Genomic DNA, 9,534 nt, shown 5'->3' on the forward strand with positions numbered 1-9,534 from the left:
CACACCTGGCTACTTTTTGTATTTTTAGTAGGGACGTGGTTTCACCATGTTGCCCAGGCTGGTCTAGAACTTCTGACCTCAAGTGATCTACCTGCCTCGGCCCCCCGAAGTGCTGGGATTACAGGGATGAGCCACCGTGCCCAGCGTAGATGTGGTCGTTTTAATGTCAGCTCACCGTGCCTTCTGTCTCAAAGTTGGATTCACTCCCCAAGTCCCCTCTGGCCTGAAGAACAGCCTAGGGGCATGCTTGCCTGGGAGCAGCTTGCTCTCAGCCTGCTGGAGGAGGGAGGGCAGGACATGGACGTGCTTTTCTCTCTTGGTGCCCAGACATGGAAAACGATTTTGTGGCACATAGGGAGCCGTCGGCACACAGGCACCTCCAAGAGCCACTGGAGCCACTGCTGGCCACTCTGGGCGCTCAGATGTGGGCACAGCATGGAGAGTGCTTTGTCGGGGTGAAAATGCTTACTTTGCTCCTGGAAGATATGCTGGCGAATGCTTCTTCAACCCAAGATGTTCAGAGTGGCTGACATGGTATTAACTGTGCACATACTGTGTGCTGGGCCTTGGAGGGGAGATGTTGAGTAAGAGAGATGGCTCAGCACTGGGGAAGCTGACACAATAAATCTGATTCCACCACTGTGCTGATTTTTATTTTTTTAATCAATTTATTCTTTTTGAGACAGAGTCTTGCTCTGTTGCCCAGGCTGGAGTGCAATGGCACAATCTCAGCTCACTGCAACCTCCACCTGCCAGGTTCAAGCAGTTCTGCCTCAGCCTCCCGAGTAGCTGGGACTACAGGTGTGCACCACCACGCCTGGCTAATTTTTGTATTTTTAGTAGAGACAGTTTCGCCATGTTGGCCAGGCTGGTCTCAAACTCCTGACCTCAGGTGATCAGCCTGCCTCAGCCTTACAAAGTGCTGGGATTACAGGCGCGAAGCCACCGCGCCCGGCCCCCACCACTGTGTTTAATTCTAACCAAGGAGAAGAGGAAGTTCTGAAAGGAGAACAAGGAGATCTGAGAACACGGCTCGGGCCTGGCCAGGGGCCTCTCAGAGGAAAGCTCTCCCTGTTGCGTCCCTCCACGCCAGGGCCTGCGTGGAGTGGGCACGGTTTTTGATACCTGCCTTGCTGACCTTCAGCTCCAATTTCTTCATCTGAAAGTGAGGATAAAAGAATTAACCCCTCTTTCTAGTCAGATGCCTGCTAGATCCATTTACCTGCTTGAATTTGAGATGTATTGCCAGGATACACCTCCACAGTCTGATGGAACACACTGAAGATATCTGAACAACAAAAGGTAACAATAGATTTTAATAATTTTTACTTGTTTTGCCTGAAACATGAGGATTCTCCCCTTTTCTCATCTCAGTCCCATGTTTTTTGGTTTTGGGGTTTGAGACGGAGTCTCACTCTGTTGCCCAGGCTGGAGTGCAGTGGCACAATCTGAGGTCACTGAAGCCTCCGCCTCCCAAGTTCAAGCAATTCTCCTGCCTCAGCCTCCTGAGTAGCTGGGATTACAGGCACCTGCCATCATGCCTGGCTAATTTTTGTATTTTTAGTTAAGATGGGGTTTCACTGTGTTGGCCAGGCTGGTCTTGAACTCCTGGCCTCAAGTGATCTACCTGCCTCAGCCTCCCAAAGTGCTGGAATTACAGGTGTGAGTCACCGCACCCGGCCCCTCAGTCCTGTGTTTTGAATTCTGTTGTTTCTTTTCTCCCATTTTCCCTCTGATTATTTCTTCTGACCTGTTTGACCTCCCATGGGAAGACGAGCTCTGCTTTTGATGATGATTGTGAAAATGCACACAGACAGCAACATAGTCAAAGAATTCTATGTTGTGTGATAAGGTGCTTTTTTTTCCTACCTACTGTCATTGTTATAATAGTGCTTCTTCGATTAAAAACCATTTGAGACAGCTCCGTTGTCATTTGTGAGCTGTCAGCTCGGCCCAACTTAGCTATCTCTGGATTTAATGTTTGTTCATATTTTCTGTGAATTACACCTCCTGCTATTACCTAGGAATAGAGCTGTCCCTCGGTACCTGCAGGGGATTGGGCCCAGGACCTCCCTCCTGTACCCAAATCTGCACATACTCAAGTCCCCCAGTCCCCTGCAGAACCCACATCTATGAAAAGTTGGCCTTGTGTGTGCAGGCTTTGCATTCTGTGAATACTATATTGTTTGTTGTTTTTGAGACAGGGTCCCTGTCACTCAGGCTGGAGTGCAGTGGAGTGACACCATCATAGCTCACAGCAGCTTCCACCTCCCTCACTCAAGCAATTTCCTACCTCAGCCTTCTGAGTAGCTGGGACCACAGGTGCACACCTGCCATGCCTGGCTAATTTTTTTTTTTTAGGTCTTTGTAGAGACGGCATCTCACTATGTTACCCAGGCTGGTCTTGAACTCCTGGCCTCAAGCCATCCTCCTGCCTCAGCCTCCGGAAGTGCTGGGATTACAAGTATAAACCACTATGCCCAGCCCGAATACTGTATTTTTTATATGTTTGATTGAAAAAATATGCGTATAAGTGGACGCTCACAGTTCACACCCTTGTTCAAAGGTCAGTTGTGTTCTCCTGAGTAGGTTGTGTGAATGAGATGCACGTGAGTCCCTGCAGGCCCAATCTCCCTCTGGTGGGCAGAATCCTGGCCTCCCAAAGATGTCTAGATCCTAATCCCCAGAACCTGTGATGATGTTACCCCGCATGGCCAAGGAGAATTAGGTAGCAGATGGAATTAATGTTTCTAATCAGCTGGCCTTCAAATTGGGAGATTATCTTTTCAGCACATGGCACTGGGAAAGTGAAATTCACATGCGAAAGAGTGATGTTGGTCCCTTACCTTTCACCAGACAGAAAAATTAACTGAAAATGGATTAAAGACCTAAACACAAGACCTAAATCTATAAAACTCTTAGAAGTAAACGGGGAAAGCTTCATGACATTCATGATTTGGCAATGATTTCTTAGATACGCAACCAAAAGCACAGACAACGAAAGGAAAAATAGCTAAGTTGGGCCGAGCGTGGTGACTCACGCCTGTAATCCCAGCACTTTGGGAAGCCGAGGCGAGCGGATCACTTGAGGTCAGGAGTTTGAGACCAGCCTGGCCAACATGGCAAAACCTGTCTCTACTAAAAATACAAAAATTAGCCAGGCGTGGTGGCACGTGCCTATAGTCTCAGCTACTTGGGAGGCTGAGGCACGAGAATCGCTTGAACCTGGGAGGCGGAGGTTACAGTGAGCCGAGATCACGCCACTGCACTCCAGCCTGAGTGACAGAGCAGGACTCCATCTCAAAAAAAAAAAAAAAAAAAAAAAGGTAAGTTGATTGTCATTTAAAAAACAGCATTGAAGGACATAACAATGAAAAGGGAACCTAGAGAATGGGAAGAAATATTTGCAAGTCATACGTCTGATAAGGGGGTAATGTCCAGAATATTTAAGGAACTACAGCTAAACAACAAACCCAAAGCATTTAAAAACGGGCAAAGGATTTGAATAGATGTCTCAAAGAAGATACACAGATGGAAAACGAGCAGGAGAAAGGATTCCCAGCATCACCCATCATTAGTGAAATGCAAATCAAAACCACATGGAGGCTGGGCACGGCGGCTCACGCCTCTAATCCCAGCACTTTGGGAGGCCAAGGCGGGCGGATCACGAGTTCAGGAGATCGAGACCATCCTGGCAAACACGGTGAAACCACGTCTCTACTAAAAATACAAAAAAATTAGCCGGGCATGGTGGCGGGCGCCTGTAGTCCCAGCTACTCAGGAGGCTGAGGCAGGAGAATGGCGTGAACCCAGGAGGTGGAGCTTGCAGTGAGCCGAGATCGTGCCACTGCACTCCAGCCTGGGCAACAGAGCAAGACTCCGTCTAAAAAAAAAAAAAAAAAAAAAACAACAACAAAAACCACATGGAGGCTGGGCAGGGCAGCTCACACCTGTAATCCCAGCTATTTGGGAGGCTGAGGCAGGAGGATCACTGGAGCCCAGAAGTTTGAAACCAGCCTGGGCAACATAGGGAGACTTTGTTTCTACAAAAAATTAAAAATTAGCTGAGTGTGGTGGGACCCGCTTGAAGTCCCAGCTACTCAGGAGGCTGAGGCAGGAGGATTGCTTGAGCCCAGGAGGTCAAGGCTGCTGTGAGCTATGATTGTATCACCCCACTCCAGCCTGGGGGACAGAGCCAAGACATTGCAGTAACATCTCACACCCATGAGGGTGACTACCATGAAGAAGATGGTCACAAGAGTTGGCGAGGATGTGGGGAAATTGAGCCCCTCATGCACCGTTGGTGAGAAGGTAAAATGTGGCAGATGCTGTGAACAGTATAGCAAATCCTATTAAAAAAAAAAAGTACCATATGATCCAGCAATATGTCTTCTGGGTATATACCCCAAATAGTTGAAAACAAGGTCTCAAAGAAATATTTCTACACCCATATTCATAGCAGCAGCATTATTCTCTGGCCAAAAGGTGGAAGCAACTCACTGTCCATCTGTGGGAAAGTGGGTAAATAAAATGTAAATACATAAATACAGACGGTGGAATATTATTCAGCCTTTGAAAGGAAGGACAGTCCTAGCTATTCAGGAGGCTGAGGTGGGAGGATCCCTTGAGCCCAGGAGTTCAAGGTTACAGTGAGCTATATAGTCCCGCCACCGCACTGGGCAACAGAGTGAGACCCTGTCTCTTAAAAGAAATCCTGACATGCTACAACACAGATGAACCTGAAGATGTTATGCTAAGTGAAAGAAGCCAGTCACAAAAAGACAAATGCAGTATGATCCCACTCGTGAGGTCCCTAGAGCAGTCAAATTCACAGAGACAGAGAATGGTGGCTGCCAGGGCCTGGCGGGCGGGGTGGGGGGTGTGGAGCTAACGTTTAATAGGCACAGAGTTTCCATTTGGGAATATACCTTAGTCTCTTTGTGTTGCTATAAAGGAATACCTGAGGCTGGGTAACTTCTTTTCTTTTTTTTTTTTCTGAGACAGAGTTTCACTCTTGTTGCTCAGGCTGGAGTGCAATGGTGCAATCTCGGCTCACTGCAACCTCTGTCTCCTGGGTTCATGCGATTCTTCTGCCTCAGCCTCCCGAGTAGCTGGGATTACAGGCACCTGCTGCCACTCCCAGCTAATTTTTTTGTATTTTTAGTAGAGACGGGGTTTCACTACGTTGACCAGGCTGGTCTGGAACTCCTGACCTCAGGTGATCCACCCGTCTTGGCCTCCCAAAGTGCTGGGATTACAGGCATGAGTCACCGCACCCAGCCAAGGCTGGCTGATTTCTAAAGAAAAGAGATTTGGCTCAGGGTTCTGCAGGCTGTACAGGGAGCATGATGCCCATGTCTGCTCCTGGGGGAGGCCTCAGCTGCTTCCACTCATGGGGGAGGGGAAGGGGAGCCCACGTGTGCTCAGATCACGTGGGGGAGAGGAAGCAAGGGGGGCAGGTGCAGGCTCTTGAACAACCAGCTCTGGAAAAAACCAACAACTCCCTCCCGCCCCTGGGTAGGGTATTAATCTATTCACGAGGGATTCGTGCCCATGACCCAAGAACTTCCTTAGGCCTCACCTTCGATATATGGGATCAGTTCCAACTGAGGTTTGGAGGAGTCAGACAAACCCTCGCGAACTCTAGCGGAAGCTGCGGGCGTTCTGGAGCTGGACGGCGGCGACGGCAGCGCGACAGTGTCACTGTGCTGCAAGTCAACGAACTGTTCATGGAAACACGGTTAAAATCGTGATTCTTACGCTTTGAATATTTTACCACATTTTTTTTTTAAGGCAGATTCCTTTCAATCATCTGAGTGAGCCCAGTGCAATCTGAAGAGTCCCTACAGGTGGAAGAGGCAGGGGCCAGGATCCAAGGAGCACCACAGCCTCTGGAAGCCGGGCAAGGAAGTGGACACCCCGGGAGCCTCCAGCAGGAAGGAAGCCCCGCGGACGCCCTAACTTCAGCTCAGCAGACCTGGTCAGATTTCCGGCCTGCAGCTCTGTTAAGGGGAGACGTTTGTGTTGTTTGAGGCCACCGAGCCTGGTCATCTGCGCCGGCAGCCGCAGGAGCCCAGGCCACCATCCCCACGAGGTCCGTATACTGTGATGTCTGCCTGGGCATTCTGCACAGGGTCTTTATTTTCTCTTCCCCTCCCCTGCAAGGTCAGTCCCGGGAGCCCAGAAGGTGCTTGATGAATGATCTGCAGCTGATTGAGCGAAGGAACGAGTGAGCCGAGCCAGTCAGCAGCATTAGTGTGATACGTGTTGCTTTTCAATTAAAGCTCTCTGCCTCTCGGTTGAGCAACTCTGAGAGCCGGGGTCCCCACCCTTCTGTCCCCCTCATGGTGGGTCTTGTACCCAACAGCTTGCCAGAGCAGAGAGCCATGAATAGGGTTTGGTTTCAGGAAAGATGACCAGGAGACTCAGCCCAGGAGTCAGCCTGAGTTCAAATCCTGGCCCCACGCTTCCTGCCTTGTCACCCTGGGCATGTGATTCAGTTCTTGGTTCTTGTACATTTGGGTGGAAACTGACAACTGCCTGCCATGGGGAGAACCAGCTTGCCTGCCTTCTGCACCACGGCTGGCACTGATCATTAGCAGGTTAAAAAAAAAGCTTTGCCAATACGCCGGGCACAGTGGCTCACACCTGTAACCGAAGCACTTTGGGAGGCCGAGGTGGGGCGGGGGGGGATCACGAGGTCAGGAGATCAAGACCATCCTGGCTAACACTGTGAAACCCCGTCTCTACTAAAAATACAAAAACAAAAAATTAGCCTGGTGTGGCAGGCGCCTGTAGTTCCAGCTACTCGGGAGGCTGAGACGGGAGAATGGTGTGAACCCAGAAGGTGGAGCTTGCAGTGAGTTGAGATCGTGCCACTGCACTCCAGCCTGGGCGACAGAGTGAGACTCCGTCTCATAAATTTAAGAAAAAAAAAACAAAAAACAAAAAAAAAACCTTTGCCAATAGGTTGAGGTGGTCTCATATTGTCGGTTTAATGTACCTCTCACTATGAGAGAGTAACAGCTTTACATTTGTTTAGGAAAGATTTGTTTTTCTCTATGTGCTGTATATTTATAAGATTTGCCTACCTTTCTCCCCTATTTTTCCATTTGTCTTTCACTTTGTTTACGGTAGGATTTTTTTTCCTGCAGAATTTTAGAATTTTGATGTGGTTTAATTAATCTGCGGTGCAGGGCTCAGAATTCATCTTCCCATAGAAACAACAGTCTAAGCAATGGTTTGGTTTCCAGACCAGCTCACTGAAACGGATTTCATTCATTGTCTAATGCGAACACTATACACTGTGCGGTGCGGACTTCAGCCTGACCCTGAGTGAAATGGGAGCCACTCCAGGGTTCACAACCAAGCAGGGAGATGAATTTGTGTTCAGAAGATCTTTAGGGGGGCACAGGAGGAGGAAGGAACCCCAGTTAAGAGGTCAGTTCAGTAACCCAGGCAAGAGGTGTGGAGGCGTAGACAGGGGTGGCATCAGCGGAGCGGGATACGCGGGCCTTAGCATTTGGCTGTGCTTTAACGATAGACCCAGCGAGAATTGCTAGCAGATTAGACACAGCAAGAGGAAAAGAAAGGAGTCAGGATGATTCCAAGGTTTTTGGTGCCTGCAGCAGGAAGTATGGAGTTGCCTTTTATTGAAACGGGAAGGACTGAGGGAGGTTCCTTGACTGCCCGTTAGACATCCAAGCACCTGCTGGAATTCCGTGTGGGGTTCAGGGATGAGACCCAACTGGGAATGTAAGTGTTAGAATTGTAAGCATGAGTTAGACCCATGGATTGGATTAAACCCCTAGATGTGGGTATTTGCAGACTGGGAAGATGGCCAAGGGTGAAACCCGGGGCATCCCAGGATTTAGAGGTCAGGGAGAAGAGAAGAGACCCCTAAAGAAGACCCAGAAACAACAGGCAGTGATAGGATGATGGGGTCCTAGGAGCTGGTGGCCAGGGCATCCCAAAGAGGAAGTGCAGCCGCGGTGTCAGAGGCTGTGGCGGACACAGGGGAGATGAAGATAGATCTGACCGCTGCTCCAGCATGGGGGTCACGGGGACCTTGAGCAGGAGGCTGGCGCAGCAGAGGGAGGGGAAAGCTGGTGGGAGCAGGCTCCAGGGAAAATGGGAGGTACACTAGCCCTAAAGGAATGCAAGAATATTTCTCAAAGCCATCATTCCAGCCCCAGCAATTACAACCAAAGAAAGTAATTCAGAAGCTGCATTTCTCTTGAGTGTTGCACCTTCAGAGCCTGGGATGGGGGAGCAGGAGGGTGTGGCACAGTCTGAGGGAGGCCTCTAAGCAATTGTCAGACCTTTTTATTTATTTTACTGTTACTTTTCTGACTGAACATATTTAATATAAAAATATGAGTTCAAGCCGGGTGTGGTGGCTCACGCCTGTAATCCCAGTACTTTGGGAGGCCGAGGCGGGCGCATAACCTGAGGTTGGGAGTTTGAGACCAGCCTGATCAACATGGAGAAACCCCATCTCTACTAAAAATACAAAACTAGCCAGGCGTGGTGGTGGGCCCCTGTAATCCCAACTACTCAGGAGGCTGAGGCTGGAGAATCGCTTGAACCCGGGAGGCAGAGGTGGTGAGCCTAGATCACACCATTGCACTCTAGCCTGGGCAACAAGAGCAAAACTCCATCTCAAAAAAGAAAAGAAAAGAAAAAAAAAAATATATATATATATATGAGTTCAAAAGCAATCCAGACAGTACAGATCAGTGTAACTTGAAAAAAATAAAGCCTTCTTCCTCTTTTTTCTCCCTTCCTAGAGGCGACTTTGTCAATAATTTATGGGTAATTTTATAAATTTTCTCTGCATATAGGAGCATGTATGTATAGTACAGAAATCCCTTTTTATATACAAAGGGATCATACTGTACTTCACCTTCTACAACGTGCTTTATCAATGTGATATATTTTGCCCATCTTTCTCTCTCTTTTTTTTTTTTTTTTTTGAGATGGAGTTTTGCTCTTGTTGCCCAGGCTGGAGTGCAATGGCGTCATCTCAGCTCACCGCAACCTCTGTCTCCTGGGTTCAAGCGATTCTCCTGCCTCAGCCTCCCAAGTAGCTGGAATTACAGGCACCTGCCACCACACCTGGCTAACTTTTTGTATTTTTAGTAGAGACAGGGTTTCATGTTGGCTAGACTGGCCTCGAACTCCTGACCTCAGGTGATCCACCCGCCTCGGCCTCCCAGAGTGCTGGGATTACAGGTGTGAGCCACCACGCCCAGCTTGTCCATCTTTCTCTGTCTCATTCTTTTTGTACCCTCTGCAGAGAATCTCATTTGTGTGTGAAGGTCAGGTCAGCCCCATCAAGGGACATTTACTGGCTTTCCGCATCTTTCTGTTACCACAGCGCTGTCCTGTCCTGAGACTCAATGCACACTTGTGCGCCTGAGTCTGGAGGGTGAATATTCAGCAGTGGGATTGCCCAGTGTGACACTAATAACCAATATGCCTTCCCTGCTCTCCTCTTTGTTACAGTCCCAAGTTTCTTCAGCATTGCAATGC

General features: G+C 49.0%; 1 annotated feature.

The window, feature by feature from the left end:
• Positions 6,092–6,925: an enhancer, noted in NCBI's record as "H3K27ac-H3K4me1 hESC enhancer chr11:70289993-70290826 (GRCh37/hg19 assembly coordinates)". NCBI's record gives its function as "activates a minimal SCP1, AML or CMV promoter by ChIP-STARR-seq in naive H9 embryonic stem cells {active_cell/tissue: H9 hESC(naive)}" and the evidence as "EXISTENCE:reporter gene assay evidence [ECO:0000049][PMID:30033119]".

This window comes from Homo sapiens, chromosome 11, assembly GCF_000001405.40.
Source record: "Homo sapiens chromosome 11, GRCh38.p14 Primary Assembly".
NCBI lineage: Eukaryota > Metazoa > Chordata > Mammalia > Primates > Hominidae > Homo > Homo sapiens.